A 22162-nucleotide genomic window follows, 5' to 3' on the forward strand; every position below is an offset into this window, starting at 1 on the left:
GGCCAGCGCTTGCGGGAAAGAGTTGGGTGGGGGCGTGGCTTCTGTGCATAGAAATCCACGCGTTCTCCCTGGACACGCAGGGATTCAGGCCTGCTAATGTCTCCCGACTTTGCTCCTAAGAACGTACGGCGCCCCCATGCTACCCAGAAACCCTTTCCTCCCTGCCCCTCAACTCCTGTCCCCGCGAACCCTCAACCACCGGCGGGACCCGCCCCCGCCTTGGAATCCCTGATCCATGCTTCCCCCCTCCAGCGCCCGGACAGTGGCTGCCTCAGGCTCGGCATACAGCAAGTGCTTAATCAATTCAGGCCGAATGTTGGACACAGTGCATCGACCCCAAAAGCGATGTGTCAGTCCAGGGCCGGAGGGGAGGGTGCGCAGGCCGCGGACGAGGGCTACACAGAAGGATTAGTGGGAGCGAGGCGAGGGACGCCTCAACGCTACAGGGGCGGGGCAGCGACTAAGAAGCGAGCCTTCCGCAGCTACCCCAAAATGGAGACCTCTTGGCCGCGCGGCGGAGGGAGCACCGGGCCTGGAGCAGTGGATGCAAAAGTGGAGCGCGAGTGCGCTCGAGGGTCTGGCGCGGAGGGCAAGCACTTGTGCCTGGCTGTGCGGGTTTTTCTTATTTTTTGCATTAACGAACATTACCCCCAAACACTCACCTACCGATTACCTTTCGTCCTTCCTCTCCGCTCAGGGTCAACCCCAACCTCCTGGAGTCCTCTGTTCTTTCCCAGTTCCAGCGACTCAGACTGGAAGCTCTGCGGGGGCAGGAGCTAAGTTGGCCCTTTCCCCATGCTCAGAGTATGGAGCAGCGCTTGGCTTTGAAGAATTAACACTAATAATCAGCAATGATTTCACAAGCCATCTCTTACTGAACTCTCTCAATAACCTACCTTTGCAAGGTAAGCAAAGGGGTCAGAGAGGTTAAGTGTGTTACTCAAGGTCACACAGCTTCAGATGGCAAAACTGGGATTGAAATTCAGGTGTCAGTGATCTCCCATTGCCTGCCTTGCTTTCCTCCTTATACATTTTCATTTACCCATTTACATTATATTTATAGTCACACTGGTTTTCCAGAAAATATCTGAAATTGTGTGGAAACAATTTATAAAGAAAAGGGCAGTTACCGACATTCGTGTGTTCCTGAGTCACTAACCCCCAAATAACTTCTGGCTCTGCTGCTTTTCACTGCTTCTGAAAATGACATTACTTCAGCCTGTCCCAGCAAGGCCTCCATTTTATGTACATTCCTGTCTGAATATTTGAGAAGGACTCAGAGTGGGCCAACAGCTTTGCGGTTTCTGAAGTGTTTTAAGTTGCACGTGAGGAGGAATGAACGAAGGGAGGTAAAAATATCTTTAGATATTAAGCGTCTTACCATGTGCCAAGCACGATATAAGGCATTTTACATATTTTCTTAGAGTCTTTCAACATCAACATCCAGGTCAAGGGTGTTTTATAGTTATCCCCATTTCACAGATCAGGAAGCTTGAGGCCATAGAAGTGGAGTGACTTGCCCAAGGGCACGTATTCAGTAATTGCTGGAATTGGGGTTATTCATTTATTCAGCTGACTCTGGTGCCAGAGCCCATACTAGAGGCTGAAGAATCCAGGTGAGGAGGACCCAGCCTCTACAACTGGATCTGTCTGATCTCAGGTGGAGCTCTCTCCACCACACCACAGCCTTTGAAAAACTGCTTTCCTGGCTGAGCGCGGTGGCTCACACCTGTAATCCCAGGAGGCTGAGGAGGGTGGATCACCTGAGGTCAGGGGTTTGAGACCAGCCTGGCCAACATGGTGAAACCCCATCTCTACTAAAAATACAAAAATTAGCTGGGCATAGTTGCAGGCGCCTGTAATCCCTACTACTCGGGAGGCTGAGGCAGGAGAATCACTTGAACCTGGGAGGTGGAGGTTGCAATGAGCCGAGATTGCGCCCCTGCACTCCAGCCTGGACAACATGAGCAAAACTCCATCTCAAAAAAGAAAGAGAGGGAGGGAGGGAGGAAGGAAGGAAGGAAGAAGGAAGGAAGGAAGGAACTGCTTTCCCCTCCTGACTAGGAGGCACCTGTGCTGTCACTCTAGTTCATTCCCTGCCTTCTTTCAGCCATGCCTTATGGACTTCCTGTCTCATTCAAACAATTCTGGAAATGCTGCCTCCTGCAGGAAGTCTTCCTTGACTGCTACAGCCCACAGTTCCCCACTTCCCCTCCCTCTTAGGTATTGCTCTCCTTCACATGCACTTGTTCCTTGGACACTCCAGACAGGGAGCCCCTTGAACCAATTCTTCTCTGGGTCCTCTATGCCAAGCTAAGTGTTTGGGGAAAGTTTGCTGATTGGTCAGTAATTAGAGACAGAGAGAGAGAGAGAAACTAACAAACAAACAGAAAAACCAGGAACTGGGAAAGGTACAGCCTGTCACTGTGTGTGTCTTTGGGCAAATCACTGCATCTTTGAACCTCTGTTCCCTCCTGGTAAAATGGGACTCATGATCCCTGCCTCCCTCACAGCCTTGCTGGGAAGAAGAATATGAAAGGGCCGTCCTTTACAGAGTGGTCCACTGCATGTCTTCAAATTCACTATGTGTCTCTGGGCAAGATATGGCCATCTTTGGGACCTCTTTACCTCTGATGACCAGATGACACTGAGGTTCCTCCTGGCTCTGCCCCACCTCCAGATGCTGCCCTGACTCCAGCACATGAAAGTCTGGTGTGTTGAGGGCCTGGATCTTCCCCGTGTCTCAGCCCACAGAGGCCCCAGCAGGCCCAGGCCGGGGCCCTTCCTGGGAGTCTCGGGGCTCCAGACTTCCTGGAGCCAGGGAGGGAGGGGCTGGGGCTGGGTCGGACCTGGAGCCCCACAGAAGCTGCTGCTGCTGCTGTCCTACCAACCCACACAGGAGCGGGGAGGCCACAGGGCATCCCATGAAGTAGGGCAAACCTCAGGCAGGGATTCTCAAACACACAGGCTCCAGTGGAGGGGCTGAGGACAGCGCTCTAGGCTTGCCTCAGGACCCGGCTACACCCCAGATGTGCTGCTGGGTGAACCAGGCTTTCTCCTCTGTACACTAGGGGCTGTCGGAAGATCAGGACAATTGTCAGTCACTCCCCCTGACCACTGACCACCATCTTTTGCCCAGATTATGCTGGCATCCCGACTTTTTTTTTTTTTTTTTTTTTTTAGATGGAGTCTTACTCTCTCTCCCAGGCTGGAGTGCAGTGGCACGATCTTGGCTCACTGCAGCCTTCGCCTCCTGGGTTCAAGCGATTCCCCTACCTCAGCCTCCCAAGTAGCTGGGATTACAGGTGCATGCCACAACACCCAGCTAATTTTTGTATTTTTACTAGAGACAGAGTTTCACCATATTGGCCAGGCTGGTCTCGAACTCCTGACCTCAGGTGATTGGCCCGCTTTGGCCTCCCAAAGTGCTGGGATTACAAGCATGAGCCACCTTGCCTGGCCCGCATCCCGACTTTCAAATGATGTATTTGGGTATGTATGGCCAAGTTGCCCACTGTCTTCCACCTGAGATGAAGCAGCCTGAGGCCTGCCCTGAAGACTCCCAGGGCGAGGAGCAGGCTGGGATAACACCATCGCTGTCAGGAAGGGATTCATTCGTCCCCAGACCCACTGTGCCCAGGGCCTTGGCACCAAGAGGGTCGTGTTCCTCCACCACCCCTTCCTGACCCTCCCCGCTGCCCCCCACCTTCTTCTCTATCTCCCAGCTGGGTGGTGGGGGGCAGGTACTACCACCCCCAGTGACCGAGGCCAGCTCCCATGGCCATGGCCTTATGGAGCCACCACCCTGGCCCAGGCTGGCTTCCTCCCCCAACCTCCACTCTAAGAGTCCCCTCAGGGCAGAGTGTCAGGGATCAAGCCCCCCAATCTGGGCACTTGCCAGGCTGTGCACAGAACTGCAAGTCAATCATTAACTTCAGGACCCAGCCGGGGAAATGGAAAGCCACTCAAACTCCATCCCAGTGGTAGGTTTCTCCTGCCCTGTGTCTCCCTGGAGCTACGGGGCACCCCCACCCCAGCCACAAACACATAAGGTCATTCGTTCCTGTGTTTGGGTGACCTCAGGCAGGGCTTTGACACTGTCCAACTTGGAGCTGGGCTGGAAGACTGGGGTTGGCTTCCCAGCCCCTCCGTCATTCTGGGTGACCTTGAACAAGTCACGCAAGCTCTTGGGACCAGTTTCCTCATCGGTAAAATGAGTATAAAGGTAGCTGTCCAGAGGGAGGTTGTGAGCGGGGAAGGGAAGAAATGGAGGTGAAAGTATCTGTGAGCCTTCTGCTAACCCCTGAGCACCTTCATCCATGCGGTCCGGGCACAGGCTTGTCTGTCTGGTCTCAGGGAGGCCATCCTTCCCTCTTCTCCACTCCTGAGGGGCAGATGTCACGGGAGGAGCGAGTGCACCAGCAGGGTCCTCACTCCACCACCTGCTGGCCTGCAGCTGCCCTCCAGAGCTCTTGGGTTGTTGCTCATTGGGAAATGGTGAACTCATGCTTGGAAGCTGACAACAGCGTCCTCTGTTAAAATGAAAATCTGATCTAGACTTCTCATGAGACCTCAGTTGAGCTGGTGTCTTCATCTCTCAAGGGTTGGGATGGACAAATTGAATGGTCTCAAACTTTTTTTAAAAAAAGCTATTGAATCTTTTAACGAATTTATTGAATGCAGCTGCTCCGGTAGAAAAGGGAGAAAGGCATTTGCAGAACTGCCTGGCATCAGTAGTGGGCCTAGCAAGGCTTCAAGGAGTGGTGGCATCTGAGCAGCCCTTAACGATGGCTGGGATTTGGCCAGGGGAGACGTAGAAGGGGCATTCCGGGTGGAGGGACATACTTGGCCAAAAGCATGGAGGCGAGAGGGCAGGTCTGTGGGGAGGGGTCTCTGAGAGCCTGTGCGGAGGGAGATGTGGCTGGGGTGGGGGCTGGGCTGGAGCCAGGTTTAGTGGAGAGGGCAGGGGTCGGGTGAGTCCTGGAGACATGGGGGTCTCCACCATCCAGGCATGTCCAGTCTAATGAAGGAGACAGATCTGCATCCACACAGGATGCTCAGGGGTCTAAACGGTCTGAGGCAAAGCACAGGGGGCTGAGTCCCATTTGGCTGGGGAGATCTGGACCAACTGGTAGTCAGGGAAGGCTTTCTGGGGAATCTGTGTGTGCCTGTGTTGCCTCCTAAAGTGGGTGTCTGAACCAGAGGCTGTGTACACTCCTCAAAGGGAGATTCTAAGCAGAGAAATGCGGTGCCCTGCCCTGTCCTCCCCATCCCAGCTGGGCCCCCATGTGCAACCAGGCTCCCTCTACTCACTGCCTCCAGCCTCGCCCCTCCCAGTTCATTCTTGAAGCCCCTAGAATTGCCCCTCTTAACCCCAGATGAGACCAGGCCCCCCCTACTCCACCCTCCAGGCTCCCCACTGCCCCCAGGGTCAAGTCCAGGCCCTCCAGGCTCCTCACTCCTCCCAGGGTCAAGTCCAGGCTTCCCATGGGAGGAGGGGAGACCGAGGCCTGCAGGATCTGAGACCTGTGAGCCTGGCTTCCAAAAGGCAAAGAAAGGTGAGGCCAGGGGCATGGGGTCCTAGCTGCCTCTTCCGGATGGGGCAGGCGGAACTTCCCGAGATAAGGGCAGCCCACAATGGGGGGCTGTGTGGTGTGGCCCGTCTCCCGGCCACAGGAAATGAGTGGCCTCCGCACCATTAATCTGCCACCGCCCGCGGCATCCTCTGGAAGGGCGACTCAGGTTGGGGGGAGATGTTCCTGTGCACCCCACCCACCGTCCCAGCCGGAGGAACTGGCCCTGCCACTCCAGGCCTTCCTTCCAGGACCATACATACAAGAGGAGGCTGCCCGAAGGGGCAGGGGGTGGGGGCAGGCAACCTGGGCATGGGTACTGGTTCTGGGGTCTGCTGCCTGACTAAGCCCCAACCCGCTGTGGAACCCGGGCAAATGCCTCACCCTTTCTGGCCCCCTGGCCCCTCATGGCTCCCCAGGCTCCTTCCTTCTTGGCTGTTCTGGGAGCCTGAGGACAGCACATGCCTGTAATTCTTGCCTTTCTGCCCCTCTCGTCACAAGGGCCCCTGGATACATGCTTTACCCAAATGTGGGGGCTCTGATGGGATTTTAGGCGTCAAGCGAGGCTGCCGGGGAGAGGTTTGGGGCTTTGTCAGCTATCTCTGCAGCTGCAGCTGAGGTCAATGGGGAGAATGCACAGCTCTGCACCATTCTGGGTCTCAGTTTCCCCTTTGCATCAGGAGGGGTGGGACCCAATGACCCTGTGGGGGGTGGGCCGCTGCGGTGAATGACAAGGGACATGACACCATGGAATTCTCACAGTCTCTGAGTTCCACCTTAGCTACAGACTAGCCGTGTGAATCTAGGCAGACCCCTTCTTGCCTTGGGCCTTGGTCTTCCTGTCTGTAAAATAGGGTCCCTGCCCAGCCAGCTCAGAGGAATTCTGTGACGGTGGGTGAAGATGGGGCCCTGTCTGCTACACAGGGAGCGGTTGCTGCCTCTGAAGTGACTGGGCTGGGGATCCACTCTGAGGGGCCAGACTACAGGCCAGGGAGTGCAGCTCTCCTGCCCCTGCCCTCACCATTTCCCACCTGTTGCACCCCCAGCTCTCGGATGACCAGCGTGAGGTGGGCTTTAGTTGGGAAAGAGGTCAAGCTTCCCCAACCCAGGTGACATTCAAAACAGAGGACAGGACCCAGGGAGCCCCTTAGATCACTAGGGCCAGCTCACTCATTGTTCAGATGGGGAAACTGAGGAAACAGGTGGAGAGTCTCCCAAAACCACACAGGCTGCGGGTGGCAGAGAAAAGCCTGGAACACAGACCTCCTGCTTTCCAAACCCTCCCTGCAGCTGTGGAATATTAGGGCTGGAGGGGCCTGTGTGGCTCAGGAAACTGAGTTCAGAAAGTAGAAGGAACTTGCCCATGGCCACCTGACTTGGAAGAGTTGAAGCAGCACTTCCCACTCTGCCCATCCCAGAGGTGGCTCTGCCTCCTGGTCTCTGATAGGCTGAGTGGCAGTGCCAGGGGAGAGCTTTCTCCTAAGCAGAGATAGGGATTCTCCTGGCAGGAGGGAATGAGCCCCCATGCCACGAGAGCTTCAAAATGGGAATGGCAGCGTTCCATGAAGGCCTGTGGAGACCTGCGTGTGCATCTGAGTCTGTCTCCAGCTTCAAACCCTCTCCACCCTAGAGCAGTGTGCCAGGGGCAGCTGATGCAGGTGGCAGAGCCCAGGAAAGTGGGCCTGGTGGGAGAGAGGGCTAAGGGGCATCAGCACTTGGCTGCTGGCCACATGAGGGCGAATGACACGGAGCAGGCAGAGTGAGAACAGCCAGGAGTCGAGGGAGAAGTAGGGACCCTACCACTGCTGAGCAGAAGAGGGAGATCCAGTGACCCGAGAGGCGGGAGGGAGCCTGGAGAGGAGCGGCAGTCGGGCATCAGGATGCATGAGGGAGGGAGGGCTGGTGAGCCAGGCCTGAGGCTAGGACAGAGGTGAGGCCAGGGGGAAAGGGGAAAGGGATGGAGGGGGAGCACAGTGAATGTGTTTCCATGGAAATGGGAGGGAGTGCGGAGGGGAGGTGTCGGGGTTGCGGGGGGGCGGGGATTGCCGGGTGGAGAGGGGCCTGAGAGAGGGAAGAGGTGCCCAGGGACGGGGTGTTGGAAGTCTCTTCTGTGGGACAGGGCAAAAGGAGGACGGAGCTAGAATGAGAACAGCTAGCTGCAGGCGTGTGTAGGGGAGTGACACAGGACGTTAGCGCCTGCTCCCTGTTTAGCAAAGAGGGTACTGTCTGATGAGTGTGGTGCGCCGTGAGGGGCAAAGGTTTGCTGCTGGGGGGAGAGGGGGCCGACCGTGGTACTTGCAAAAAGTTACCCCTGCGGACCAAACACAAGTGGGCTCACAGCGCCCATCACTGCTAACACTTAGCAGTTGTAGGAGCTCTGGTAGCCAAACTCAAGTCCTAGCTGTTGCCCATCACACTCTCCTCCTGTGCGATGGCTGCTCTTACTTACAGAGCTCTTACCACGTGCCAGCAGCACCCAGCCTTTCATGAACGTGAACTTGTTCAAGCCTCCTGTAGCAACCCTATGAGGCAGGTACGATTACACACGCATGCGAGCTGGTGGGCACACACACGCAGATACACAGACATGGGGGGCTCCCATCCAGCCTGGGAAAGGAACAGGGCAGGGGAAGGTGGGAGCAGCCCCTGACTGAGAGATCCCTCCAGTTCTCCAGCTTCCACCATTCCTCTCCTCCCCACCCCCATTCTCCCATCTGTGTCTCTCTCAGGTGGAGATTCTTTGATGGTTTTCAGACTCTCCTCCCTTGCTCCCCAAAGCCCCGACTTATCCACTGTGGGAGTTGGGAGGACTGAGAAACCAAAGTCCCAGGCCCATATGATGGAAAGTTCCAGGCCCTCACCCCACCCCACTGCAAGCTATCTTGGCTCACCCCCTCCCCCACATGTCACCTGCAGCCCGAGCCCTCCTGGGTGGGTGTGGCCAGCTGAAGCAGAGTGAGACCTTCCAGTATTTGACTTGGTGGCTTGAGAGCCCTGGCAGATGCCACGTTCATCCCTGGGCAGTGCCTGACTAACCAGGAGAAAGGAGGCTTCTGCAGCACTGCTTTCTCCTATGGGGCCCTGGCCCATCATGGAGGCCCTTCCTCCCCTTCTTGGACCCCAGAGATCACTGGCTGCCTCTCTCCCTACTCTGGGGCCACCCAATCGTGCAGACCAGAACCCCCTTCAGTGCCACCCCGACCCCTACCAGGCTGCACTGATTCTATCACATTTTCAAACTTTTCCTGGCCTCCCTCCAGATCCAGTCCCTGCCCACCCATCCAGCCATTCACCATCTACTCAGCTGCTGTGGTCTTAATGTGTCCCATAAATTCACATGTTGAAACCTAATCCCAGTGCGATGGTATTTCTAGGGGCCTCTAGAAAGTGATCGGGTCATAAGGGTGGAGCCCTCATGACGGGATTAGGACCCTCGTAAAAGAGATCTCAGGGAGACCCCGCATCCCTTATGCCATGTGAGAACACAGCAAAAAGGTGGCAGTCCCTGAAGCAGATAGTGGGTCCTCACCAGACACTGACTCTGTCTGCACCTTGATCTTGGACTTCTCAGCTTCCAGAACCACGAGCAATACATTTCAGTTGTTTATAGGCTACCAAGTCTATGGTATTCTGCTATAGCAGCCCAAAGGGACGAAGACATCATCATATTGTCCTTTATAAGACCCAGCATCCGTAAGAGGGGACCTTACCAGATGCCAAAATAGGTGGCATAGATGGAAAACTTCTGCCCTGTTCCCCTCCCAGAGCTGTGGTGAGGTTCAAATGAGCTAATGGTCATGAGCATTCTGTGTAAACTGCTGGGATCTGTAATATCACTCATTTCTAGAGCAGGAGAGCACTGTGAGGTGAGTAGCATGAAGGCTTGACACCACCTGGTGCCTTTTGGGAACAGAAGAATTTCCTCTGGCTGAAGCCCAGAGGGTAGGAGGGGAGGGACTTGGGGCGAGGCTGGAAGTGAAGACAGGGCCAGGTGTGAGGGCCTTGAGGGGCTGGGTTAATGACCCTCAACTGTGTTCTAAGGGTGATGGGGAGCAAAGAGAGGATCTCTAGTGGGGAGTTCAGCTGGTGTGCACAGCCCATGGCATCTCCATCAGGAATACAGAGACCTTCAAAGAAGAAGAGACCACTGGAAGTGAGGATGGCTGAGCCCCAACAGCAGGAGGAGAGGGAGCTCTGGTGCTCCTCGGAGTTGGAGCCTGGAGCCACAGACAGGAGCTAAGCTGGAGAATTCTGGAAGGCACATAAACCTAGGCATGGGCCTTCTGCCTGCCCAGGCCCCACAGGCCCTCCTGACACAAGAGAGGACTCTGGGTTGGTCCTGAGAAGGAAAAAAGGTGTGCTGGGGAGAAGGTGCCTCCTGCCCAGCATGTCTAGGGAAGCCTCACATTAGAATGGGACTCAGCTGGGAGGGGAGAGCAGAGAAGGCTGGGCAGGGCCCAGTTGTGCAGGGTGTTCACTGCACAAGGGCACTGGCTGAGGGGGTGAGAGGGGGTGAAATCCTGGCACGGGGCTGTGACTGCCCAGATGGGGCACCTTTTTCTAACTTTCACAAAGGCACCACAGAAGCTTGATGGGCCCTGTAGCCATGGGAGAGCAAAAGGGGCCCCAAAACAGATTCAGGCGCTGAGAAGGCAGGAGCCTAGTAGGCCCAGCACAATCTCTCTGTCTGTTGCTCCCTCAAAACACAACCTGATTTTCCTCTGGGTGAGGAGAGGAGCTGAGCCTTCACCGAGCTCCCTGAGGACCCAGCCTGCGAAGATGGTGCAGTGCTAGAGGCCCCGACTGATTCGGGCACTGGGAGGCTCTGTAGCAGAGCCGTGTGGCTTGGCCAAGAGAGGGGAGGTCTGGCATGGCTGGCCCCCAAGCTCTGCTGCTGCTCTGCCAGGCGCTGTCGGGCAGTCCCCCAGGTGACCTGTCTGAAACAAGATGGCGGCCACACTGACAGGTGACCACAGGAGACAGCAAGGAGTGGGGAAGGGGCCAGGCCTTGTCCGGCTCCCTGTGTGGCAGGTGGTGGCACATCACTGTCCTCCTCTGCAGCTCAGTGTCCTCCTCCACATAGGGATCTGCTCCCAGAGTCTGGGGATATCTCCCGCCCCCCTGGTGCCTGGTGGCTGCTGTCAGTAGGGGCAGACATCTTCATGCCCTACATGGGAAAGCCAGTGGGGGGTGGGAAGCCCAGGTGGGACCTGAAGCTGGAGCAGAAAGGGGTTCAGGAAGCAAGGACCCCTCACCCCAGTGGGGATGCTTTTCCCTCCTTCTCCCATGACTTACTGGGGTTCCTACCTCTCCCACATTTCTTTCCAGCCCCCCTCTCACTCCCGGCCACTGTCCTCTGCACACCCCAGATTCCAGAGGGCCCAGTCTGTGTTGCTAGAGCCATGGCTGCCATCTGGAGAGCACTGGCCACCCCAGGCTCACTGTCAGCGCCACACACACACCATCTCATCTAAGCCTCATGACAGCTCCACAAGGGACAGAGATTGCTATTCCCAGCTTATAGATGCAGAAACAGAGACCCAAAGAGGTTAAGTCACTGCCTCATATCACAGTAAACAGATGCTGCCACAGGAACATAGCCATTCCTAACAACTCTATCATCTATGCTGGCCATCTATAGCCAACAGGCTGCACTGGGCAGGCCTGGTGTCTAACTCCCAGGGCAGATGGGCCAGCTCTGGGCCTGCAAGGACTCCCAGCACAGAGCCATCCTTGGCGCTGTCTTCTGGAGCCACTTGGGATGCTGGCCCTCAGGCTGGAGGCACAGGAAGCTCACCCAACCGGCTTTCAGTCTGGGATGTTTTCTGCACTTCTGTAGACCAAAAAGAAGCCCCTGATACCTGGGCATGGTGGCTGACGCCTGTAATCCCAGAACTTTGGAAGGCCGAGGCGGGTGGATCACTTGAGGTCAGGAGTTCGAGTCCAGCATGGCCAACATGGTGAAACCCAGTCTCTACTAAATAATACAAAAATTAGCTGGGCATGGTGGCATGTGCCTGTAGTCCCAGCTACTCAGGAGGCTGAGGCAGGAGAATCGCTTGAACCCAGGAGGCAGAGGTTGCAGGGAGCCAAGATGGCGCCGTTGCACTCCAGACTGGGCGACAGAGTGAGACTCTGTTAAAAGAAAAAAAAAAAGCCCCTGATGGATGTGGCATAGAGCCTCAGCCTGGAGGGGCTGCAGACCCCAGACAGTCCCTGCAGACCCTGGGGTTTCCAGCCCCCTGTTCTGTCCTGCCTGGGGAAGACTCCATCTGCACACCTGGAGCTGCGTCCTCCTGCTCTCTGGGAACCAGCCTTTGCATGCATGGACAAGAACAGCTCCAATTACTGAGAGTGTCTAGTTAGGACCTCCCCCAGTCCTCCCTACCTCAGTCCTGGTCTCAAAGCCCTGTGATTTTCGGGGACAATCAGTGCTTGAGGGGCCTTGGGAACCCCTGAGTCCAACTCTACTGTCAGAAAGAGAAGACTGGAGCTCTGTCCAGAGCTGAGAGGCCCAGCCTGGCCCAAAGTCACATGGCCTGGGGACCCCTGTTCATTCCCTCACCCTGTGCCACACCCTCCTCCCTTAGCTCAGCCCTGAGAGGCTCCATGATGGGGCCCAGCATGGTTTTAATGCCCAAGAATGATGGGGTTCCCACTCCCCTCAGGATTTAAGTCCAAGTTCCTTGGCCTGGCATGTCAGGATCTGGGCCTGCCACCTGTTCCAAATGAGTCCCCCATGACTGCCATCCCTCACCCCAGCTGGGCTTAAGCTACATGTGCATCTTCCACATCTCAGCTCCCCACTCCAGCACCACTGACCACCCATCAGCAGGCCAGTGTCCCAGGTCCAAATGTACTTGAGTCACACGTCCTCTCAGGTCCAGTCACCTATGGCCATGTCACATGATCACCATGGTTGCCAGGACCACTAGGGGGCAGTTCTCAGAGGAGGAGGTTAACATCTCAGTGAAGGCAGATGACTTCTGATGGGGCAGACCAGTGAGCACTGGATGGCAGAGCTCCTAGGCCCTCAGGGTCATCTAATCCAAATTCAGCCTTGTTAAAGCCAGGGGCTGGGGCCAGAGAGGGCCAGGGACTCGCCTGAGGCCACACAGCACATGGGTGATAATGCTACACAGCAGTGGCATATGGGGAGCCCTCATACTGGGTTCCACAATCGATGAGGCCCTGTCACCCCCCGGTGCCTCATGTAATCCTCAGAATGACTATATGAAGTAGCCCCTAGAATCCTTATTTCCAGATGGGTAAGTAGGGGTTTGGAGGGCATGCTGCACAGCTATGGAGTGAAAGAACCAGGACTAAACCCAGGTCTCCATCTGAAGCCAAAATCTGGGGCTCTTGTGGTTGTACAACATTGTGAATGTTATTAATGGCATTGAATTATACACTTAAAATGGCTAAAATAGCAAACTTTATGTTATATATATTTTACCACAATTTAAAAAAATTAATAATGCAACATAACAAAAGCCATTAGTTGTACACTTTAAATGGGAGAATTATATGACATGTGAATTATATCTCAATAAAGCTGGTTTAAAAAACAAAAAATGTCTTGGGCTCTTAACCAGGATGTTCTGCAGACTCTTGTGTCAAGTTGCTCAGAGAACGGGGGGGATGGACATTCTCCAAATAGGGGGAAGGAGCTCCGATGGGGAGCACAGGTGGCTGGATCTCAAAGGGGTTCTCAGGGCAGGCTGCAAGCCATACCCACCTGTGGAGCTTTGTAGCTGCCCAAAGGTCCAGCCTCCACCCCCTGGAGATTCTGTCACTGACTACACTAGGGTTGAGATCACTGCCCTTCCCATGCAGAGGTGACACTAAGAGGGTTTTGAAGGATGAATAGGAGCAACAGGCTGGAGAGGTTTGAGGGAGACAAAGGAGTCCAGATAGAGCACACAGTGTCTGCAAAGGCCAAGAGGTGTGAGCAGGAGGGGCTGTGTGTGTGTAATCAAACCCTGCCTACCAGCCAAGGAGAACCGTGTCAACTTCTGCTCAGGGGCCAAAACCAACAGAGGTGTGGCTTGCGTCCTGGGCACCCTCCCTGCCACCTTCCTCCCTAACCCCCACCATCACCTGAGGCCTTTTCAGTCCATCAGTCAATAGCCTAGATTTACAGGGTAACCAACCAAGACTACCTATGAACTGACAGCACACTCCTTTCCTTCACACATACCAAGGAAAGAAATCCAGAGCCACTGGAGGGAGGCATCTGCCTCAGCCTTGAAGGTGCCAGTGATGGTGGCAGCAGCCCATCTGGAGCAGCCACTGTGGGGACTCCAGCTGTAGCAGGGGAGGTACAGCCAGGGCTGCAGGTTCCATGGAGCCAGTGGGGCCAGGAACAGGTGGTGGCCCCGCACTCTACTGAGTTGGCAGGATGGGAGCCCCATGCTCCTGGGCACAGCTACAGCCACCCAGTCATGGCTCCCAGCCTAGGCATCCCCATGCTATCTGGCCTGCAGGCTTGGAAGTGCCTGCTCCCAATGCCTGCTCTGAGTTCGGAGCTTTTGCAGCAGGCAGCAGTGTCTGGATAAGGGAAACATGAGGGCACCTGAAAGGTCAGAGATGCCAGGAACCACAGAGCCCCAAAGAGGGTGTTACAACATGTCACAGCCCTGGCTCCGGGAGCCCCAAGGTCTGGGCTCCCACAAGGGCCACAGCTTTTCTCTCCTTCTCATCACCTGCAATGTGGCAAGCAGGGGGCGTGTAGCCAAGCCCAGGCACTGTTGTGACCCAGCTGGGTGTGCACATGCTTGGGGTGGCACTGACACGCCAGCACCCTGCCACCTCAAGCCCCCTCTGAACATTGGGTGAGGAGTGCTACAGGAAGGCTGGGGGCCAAAGGTGGCTCAGCATGAGCCTGCAGATGTCCCTTGGTGTGAACAGCATGGGCATTGTGAATGACATGTTGATGGCATCAGGAGGCAGACAGGTTCCTAGGCAGGAAGGGATGGGTCCCTGTGAGGCCCCACCTTCAAGCCAGGGACAACCTGAAGCATGGGGGCTGGGCTGTCAGTGCTCGGAGAAGTCAACATGGGGAGTGAGAACTTCATTGATGACTGTTTGGCCAATAGGGTGGTGCTTTTTCCAGACCCACCCATGGTCACCCATGGACCAATCAGCACGCACTTCCTCTATTCTGAGCACATAAAAGCCCCAGACTCAGCCAGACTCATACACCTGCTTGGATGACCTGCCTGTGGAAAGGAGCTACCCACTACAGGTCTCCTCTCCACTGAGAGCTGGACACTCACTGGGATGACCAGCCTGCAGAAAGGAGCTGCCTACTTCAGGTCTCCTGAGAGCTGTTCTGTTGCTCAATAATGCTCCTCTCTGCTTTGCTCACCCTCCAGTTGTCCAAGTACCTCATTCTTCCTGGGTGCGGGACAAGAACTTGGGACCTGCCAAATGGCAGGACTGAAAGAGCTGTAACACAGACAGGACTGAAACACAACCCCCCCCTCCCCCCGGCTTACCATATTGTGGGCAATTAGGAGAGAAAAGCTGCAGCCCTTCTGGAAGCCCAGACTTTGGGCTCCCTGAGCAAGGGCTGTTACATGTTGTAATACCCTCTTTGGGGATCTGTGGTTCCTGGTGTCTCTGACATTTCGGGTGCCATTGTGTTTCCCTTTTCCAGATGCTGGTGCCTGTGGTGGAAGCCGCTTGGTACATCTAGTCCAGCTGCAGCCTTGCACAGAGCCAACACCTGGAGCTGACCACCCCACCACAGCTGGCCTGGCTATGTGTGGTGGCCGGACTCTGCGCTCACTTGCTCATACACCCCTCACCGCTCCATGCCTGACTTGACTTTGGCAGGATCCAGGCCAGTAGCAGGAACCAAGCACAGCCTGTCAGACTGAGTGGGTGGAACAAACCCAGCAGGCACAAGCAAAACCCAAGCAGAGGTGCCACCAACCACAGAGGTTTCCAGCTGGTGAAGCAACACCCTAAAGATCCTGTAACACCAGGAAGGGGCTTGGAGGGAGACCCAGGACACACTGCTCTGAAGGTGCTGCTCTGTGGAGAGTGAGTGGGGCCCAGCTGAAGCCAGCTGTGTATGTGTTGATGCATTCATGTGAGCATGTATGCACAGCCCTGTTTCTGCATCCATGAATTGGGGATAATGCATCTACCTCTTTTGTGTTAGAATAATCACTGCCAAGCTGTGAGGAGACCAGTAGCTGCCAGGAACTGGGGGAATGGGGAAATGAGGGTTCCTTTTAGGATGATGAAATTGTTCTGGAACTAGACAGTGGTGATGGTTGCCCATTGTGAAATACTGAATGTTACTGATGGCACGTTTTTTGTTTTTATTGTGTGTTTAACACACAATAATGAGTGGATGAATGGAAAAAAAAAGCCATGAGGTCTACTGGGATGGAAAATGGGAGGCAGTAAGAGCTGTCATTCACGGAAAACCCACTGAGTGCCAAATGCAGGATCTAGACATGTGAAATGGTGGGTAGTGGAACCACTGGCCTAGTCAGCAAACCCTAAGCCCTTAGGAGAAAGGGGTCTTCCTAGAACTGGCTGAAGGGCAGTGAGGCCCAAATATTAATAGATGGAATCCTGCTCACAGGCACAGGCCACACAGTATTTCAGGAGGACATCGGGACATATGTTGTTTCACTGCCCATCTAGCCCCATTCCTGTTTGGGAGGCTTCTTGGCAGGAGGCAGGACTTCGGGTCTGCTACAGAAGCTGAAGTGTCTACCCGGCCCCTCTCCTCTCAGCCCCACACCTCCCTGTACCGAGGGCATGATGTGAGAGATCCAGCTCAGCCAATCCGGCACCCTGGCCGGGGCATTGCATCTTGAAGTGACCTCAGTGATACAGACACAGTGGAGAAATTCTTATGGGAGGTAGATGGGAAAAAAGGTGGAAGGAGAGGGGTGGTGAGCAAATTTATCCATTCAGGACATTTTTACTGAGTGCTTATTATACATGAAGTACAGAGTGAATCAATGAATGAGGGAGAGAATCAGTGGGTGGGTGTCTATGTGAGAGCCCGCCCTTGATAAACCTCAGGGGGCTTCTAGGTAGGGCTGAGGGGCTGGCAGGGGACCCGGGATTGGCATATTAGTGAGTGGGGCTGGCTTGGGTCACAAGGATGTTCACTGGTATTCTCTTTCAGAGGCCAGGCAGGGGGTAGGGTCCCTGACAGGCCACCCACCCCATAAAAGCCCTGATTTATGCTCCAGCCGCCTGCTGGCCATGATGTCGTCTGTGCCTTGTTTATTTATTTGTGAGAGCCAGGTTGGGTTCTGGCTCCTTGGTTCTTCTGTCTCCATGTGTTCTAACCCCACATGATGAAAAAGACGGATGCCTTGGAATTATTTTGCATGAAATTGCTGCGGAAAACTATTTGGCCCGCATTTGATTTCACCTCTTGTTACAGGATAATTTGTTATCCTGAAACGTGCAGCAGCTGGAGGCCTGGAGGAGCAGATGCTCCTGGGGAGACGCGGGCTCCCCAGGCAGGGGTGGTGGCTTCGTGGAGCAGAAGCAGAGCACTGCTTCTGCCAGGCAGACCTGGTCCTGACCCCACCAGTGCCCCTTCAGACTGTGGGAAGCTCATGGAGCCCTAGCTGAGCCTTGGTTTTCCTGTCTATAAAATGGGGATAAGGCCACCTACCCACCAGAGGTAAGGACTGAATGGGGTGATTCACAGAAAGCACTTAGCACACAGTGATTGGCCCATGGGAAGCCTCCACAAAGGTTTGTTATTATTCCTGGAAGAAAGGATTGTCCAAGAGAAGTGTTAAAGAATGAGCAAGACGTGAACTGGGTAAAGATGTGTTTTCTGGCACAGCATAAGCAAAGACATGGAGGAGAGAACCACAGCTATCATTTGGGGTACCCAGAACTGAAAGAAGGCAGACAGCAGTGCGAGAGGATGCCAGAGAAGGTGGCTGGATCAGCTATGAAGTGGCGCGTGGAAGCCAGTGAAACAGGGAGCCAGAGAAGAGTGGTGAGCTGGGGAGGGACGAGCTCTGATTCCCCCACTACAAAGAGCACTCAGGCCGGGAGGGCAGCTGGGTGAAGCCTGCAGCCAGCTGTACGGTCTCGTATTACTTTCCAAGGGCTGCCATACACAGTGCCACACACTGGATGGCTTACAACAACAGAACGTATTCTGACAGTTCTGGAGGCTAGAAGTCCAACATCAAGGCGTTGGCTGCACCATACTCTCACTGAAGGTTCTAGGGAAGAGCTCTCCTTGTATCTTTCTAGCTTCTGGTGGTAGTTAGCAATCTTTGGCACTCCTTTGCTTGCAGCTGGATGGCTCCAGTCTCTGCTTGTTGTCCCATGGCATTCTACCCTGTGTCTCTCTGTCTTCTCTTCTTAGGGCCCACCCTACAGCAGTATGACCTCAACTTAACTAGTTATAGCTGCAAAGACCCCATTTCCATGTATGGCCAAATTCACAGGTATTTGGTGTTAGGACTTCAACGTATTTTTTGTGGGAGGTGAGGAGTAACACAATTCTACCTCTATACTCCCTCTGTCCTCTGCCCCTCAGTCACTGAGGAACCCAAGAGCTCTAGGATCCCAGGACCCGTTCACTGAGGAATGTTTCCTGCTTTGGGTTGGAAGCAGGGTGGGGAATCGCCATCCTTGGGGGGCATAACAAGCCCTAGGGGATAAGGGGAAGGTGAAGCCAAGACCAGGAAAGGAGGAATGGAAGGGCTGAGGCCATGGCTTACAGCGGAAATGCAAGGCCAGAGCTGGGGCAGGCTCTGGAGGTGAAGTGAAAGGTGGCTCTGAAGCCCTTGGAGAGGGAGGGTCTCACAGCCAGCCCCTCTGGGTATAGCAAAGCAGAGGTGGGGAGTGAAGGCTGGATGCTGGGGAGCTCAGGCAGGATAGAAGCCGAGTGAGCCGAAAAAGCTAGGAATGGAGGGGCTCTTGGGAAGGCCCTCAGCCTCCTCTCTGCAGCTTTAAAGGCAGAGTCCTTTAGAACTGACTTCCATCTGTGCCACAGTAGAGGCCCAGAGAGGACAGAGACTTTCCCAAGGTCACACAGTGGGTCCACAGCAGGAAATGCCTGGGGCCCACGCCTCCTGCTCCAACCACAGCTCCCACCACCCAGCTCGCAGGTGGGCCCTGCCCTGAATGTCTTCAGAGGCTGCCCCATCCATGGCATAGGACGTGGAAGTGGTGACATCAGTGGGAGGGACGGTGGGAGGCTGGCCAGTGTGGGACCCCCATGCCCCAGAGGTGAGGGCATAAAAATGCCTGTGGAATGAAAAGAAATGTCCATTCTTCCAACCCTGGGCAAGGTAGGAATCCTGCAAAACCGAGCATTTCAAGGGACGCTAGGAGCTGGGGGAGGGGAGTGGGAGGTGGTATTGGAGCTTGCGGCTCTCTGGAAGGGTGGGTGGCTCCAGATGGGGTTAGGAAGAGGGTACATCTGGGGGAAGGGCAAAGTGGTAGGCTTAGGGCATGGGAACAGGTGTGTGTGCAGGGGTGGGGGTGGGACAGGGCCCTGAAGGAACGGGGCACCTAGAAGAGAAAGTGGTTTTTACTTGTGGGGAAGACTACTGTGCCTCTCCAGAGAGGGGAGGCCTCAGGACGACAAAGCTGAGGGCTGACTGATGCAGTAAATTCAGAGGGGAGGCAGTGGGATTCAGTGGTCCTCCCAGTGTGAAGTTGCAATGAATCAGCTGTTCTGTTAGACCCTCAGGTATGCTTAGGCCTAAAGAGCCCTATTCCCCTTCGGGACACAGTATGTCCCCTGGTACTCTGGATAGGGTAAGGGCCAGCCTCAATCTCTTGGGGGCTAGAAAAGCAGCCAGGAGCTGAAGTGGGCAGGGTCGGGGCCACACAGCTGGCCTCCTAGATTCATGGTGGAGGGCAGATGCCCCAAAGCCCTCCCTATCCGTTCCTCAATATCAGGCCCACCTGGAGACTGACTGTGGCTGGGGCTGACTCTGAACCCCAAACCCCAAATTCAGCAAGAGAATTCAGCTGGACCAGCAAGACCCGGTCCAGCCCGGATCACGTGTCCACGTGTCAGTGGATCCTCAGGAGTCAGGCTCTCAGTAAAGCTGCAGGGCCTCACCCCTGGTGGGGTTGCAAGGAGAGGTTCTGGGGACTAAGCTGGTCCCGAAAGGCATCTATGTACCAGTCAACATCAAAGATCGAGCAGACTAAAAGGGAAAAACAAGGCTGAGTGTGGTGGCACACACCTGTAGTCTCAGCTACTTAGGAGGCTCAGCGGGGAGGATCCCCTGAACCTGGGAGGTCCAGGCTGCAATGAGCTGAGATCGCGCCACTGCACTTCAGCCTGGGTGACAGATCAAGACCCTGTCTCAAAAAAAAAAAAAAAAAAGTTCACAATGACACAAAAGGAGTACACACATGATGTTAGAAAACCAGGCCAGGTGTGAGGTTCACGCTTGTAATCCCAACACTTTGGGAGGCTGAGGCAGGAGGATCACCTAGCCTCCTAAGGTCAGGAGTTCAAGACCAGCCTTGCCAACATGATGAAGCCCCGTCTTTACTACAAATACAAAAATTAGCTGGGCGTGGTGGTGGGTGCCTGTAATCCCAGCTACTCGGGGGACTGAGGCAGGAGAATCTCTTGAACCTGGGAGGCAGAGGACTGCAACCTCTACATACCAGTCAACATCAAGGATCAAGCAGATTAAAAGGGGAAAACAAGGCCGGGGGTGGTGGCACATGCCTATAGTCCCAGCTACTCCAGAGGCTGAGGCGGGAGGATCCCCTGAACCCGGGAAGTCCAGGCTGTAATGAGCTGAGATCACACCACTGCACTCCAGCCTGGACGACAAGAGCCAAACTCCGTCTCAAAAAAAAAAAAAAAAGAAAAGAAAAGAAGAAAAAGAAAGAAAGAAAGGAGGGAGGGAGGGAGGAAGGAAGGAAGGAAGGAAGGAAGGAAGGATGCCTTAAGCACCGAGGGAATACCAACTAGCATAAAGAAAAAGTGGCAGGCACATTCTAAAGCTCCACCGCAAGCAGCCACAGAGGCCCGCAGCGAGGCCTCCCAAACACTAGCCTTCCGCTCTGGTGGCCAAGGGGAAAGGAGCGGAGAGCAGAAGCCTGGGCTGCCTGGCCTAATGGGGGCGCCCACACGCATGGCCCCCTGGGCTCAACCCCCGCCTGCAGTCTGAGCATCTGTCGGAGCTGACACTCCTCATCTGCCAACTGGGAGCCCTAGTCCACCTTGCCTCTGGGGCGGCGGGAAGGGCTCAATGAGGGGCTGGCCCAAGGTCCGAGGAACAGCAGGGACACAGCGTCTGCCAGAACTCTGTGCTTTCCTGCTACACCAGGGTCCCACAGGCCCCACAGGCATGAAGGAACTGCCCCTTTGGCAAAGATCAACCCTAAGGTGCTTCTTGGCACCCTCATCAATGTCACACAGCCTGGCTCACCCTCAACTGCTATTTCCTTTGGAAGCCAGAAACACATCCAACTGTGAGCACAGACGCCAGCCTAGAGTGCCCAGCTGAGCGTTATTTTTGCTGAAACAAGTGCCCTAGGAGGTGCTGGGGCCCTGCTACCGTGGGTTCAATGTGTCCACACCATTCCTGTCGCTAATGTGGAAGCAGTGGTGCTGGCCTGACCTCCTCCCCGCCGGGGCTCGTGGGAGACAGCAACCCTCTGTGGATGTTTGTCTGACACATGTAAACACAGGCCCAGAGCTGCTCTCCCCCGATGGCTGGTGCTGGCTCACGGGACAGAAATGCCATCAGCCTGGGTCTCCTAGGGAGAGCCGTTCAGCACCTGCCTGGGAACCACATGCCCCAGGGGATCCTGGAGCCCCGAGCTCACTGTCTGACCCCTCCCTCTCCCAGCCTAGCCTGGGGCTGCTTAAGACACCCAGTTCCTCCTGGAATCCCTGTTTGGGTTTGGTTTGGAGTTGGAGTTTGTTTCCATTCAGGGCAACTTGATCCCGGCCCAGCCTCCAACCCCTCACTGCCCCCGGTATCCCTGCCCCTCAGGAGGGGTCTTGACTTTGCCCACATGCTGACAGGGCAGGCTCCTCTAGACCTCCCACACGGGCACTGAGAGCTCTGGCTGTCTTTGATGTCCCGAAAGGAGATCCCCCAGCTTCCACAGCCTCAGCCCCCTCTCCCTCAGTGCTAAATAAGTCAGAGACTGCGAAAACCAAATGCTACCCTGTGGAGCGGAACAAAAAAGAACAGGTTTGGGGGACAGAAGGGCTGGGGTCTAGATATCTGTTGATCAATTCCTTACTAGTGGCCTAGAAGAAGACATCCAACCTGTAGGGGAGGCGGCTGAAATGGCAGCATTAATAGCTCACCCAGATGAGCATGGTGGCTCATGCCAGTAATCCTAGCGCTTTCGGAGACTGAGGAGGGAGGATTGCTTGAGGCCAGGAGTTTGAGACCAGCCTGGGCAAAACCATGAGACCCTATTTCTAAAAGAAAAAATTTAGCCAGGTGTCGTGATGTGTGCCTGTAGTCCTAGCTACTCTGGAGGCTGAGGCAGGAGGATTGCTTGAGCCCAGGAGACCAAGGCTGCAGTGAACTATGATCCCTCCACTGCACTCTACTAGGTGACAGAGCAAGACCCTGTCT

At 55.2% G+C, this 22162-nt stretch overlaps 3 annotated features.

Annotated features, from left to right (window-relative positions):
• Positions 6804–7636: an enhancer, noted in NCBI's record as "H3K4me1 hESC enhancer chr11:75953802-75954634 (GRCh37/hg19 assembly coordinates)". NCBI's record gives its function as "activates a minimal SCP1, AML or CMV promoter by ChIP-STARR-seq in naive H9 embryonic stem cells {active_cell/tissue: H9 hESC(naive)}" and the evidence as "EXISTENCE:reporter gene assay evidence [ECO:0000049][PMID:30033119]".
• Positions 20231–21060: an enhancer, noted in NCBI's record as "H3K4me1 hESC enhancer chr11:75967229-75968058 (GRCh37/hg19 assembly coordinates)". NCBI's record gives its function as "activates a minimal SCP1, AML or CMV promoter by ChIP-STARR-seq in naive H9 embryonic stem cells {active_cell/tissue: H9 hESC(naive)}" and the evidence as "EXISTENCE:reporter gene assay evidence [ECO:0000049][PMID:30033119]".
• Positions 21061–21888: an enhancer, noted in NCBI's record as "H3K4me1 hESC enhancer chr11:75968059-75968886 (GRCh37/hg19 assembly coordinates)". NCBI's record gives its function as "activates a minimal SCP1, AML or CMV promoter by ChIP-STARR-seq in naive H9 embryonic stem cells {active_cell/tissue: H9 hESC(naive)}" and the evidence as "EXISTENCE:reporter gene assay evidence [ECO:0000049][PMID:30033119]".

Source organism: Homo sapiens, chromosome 11, assembly GCF_000001405.40.
Source record: "Homo sapiens chromosome 11, GRCh38.p14 Primary Assembly".
NCBI lineage: Eukaryota > Metazoa > Chordata > Mammalia > Primates > Hominidae > Homo > Homo sapiens.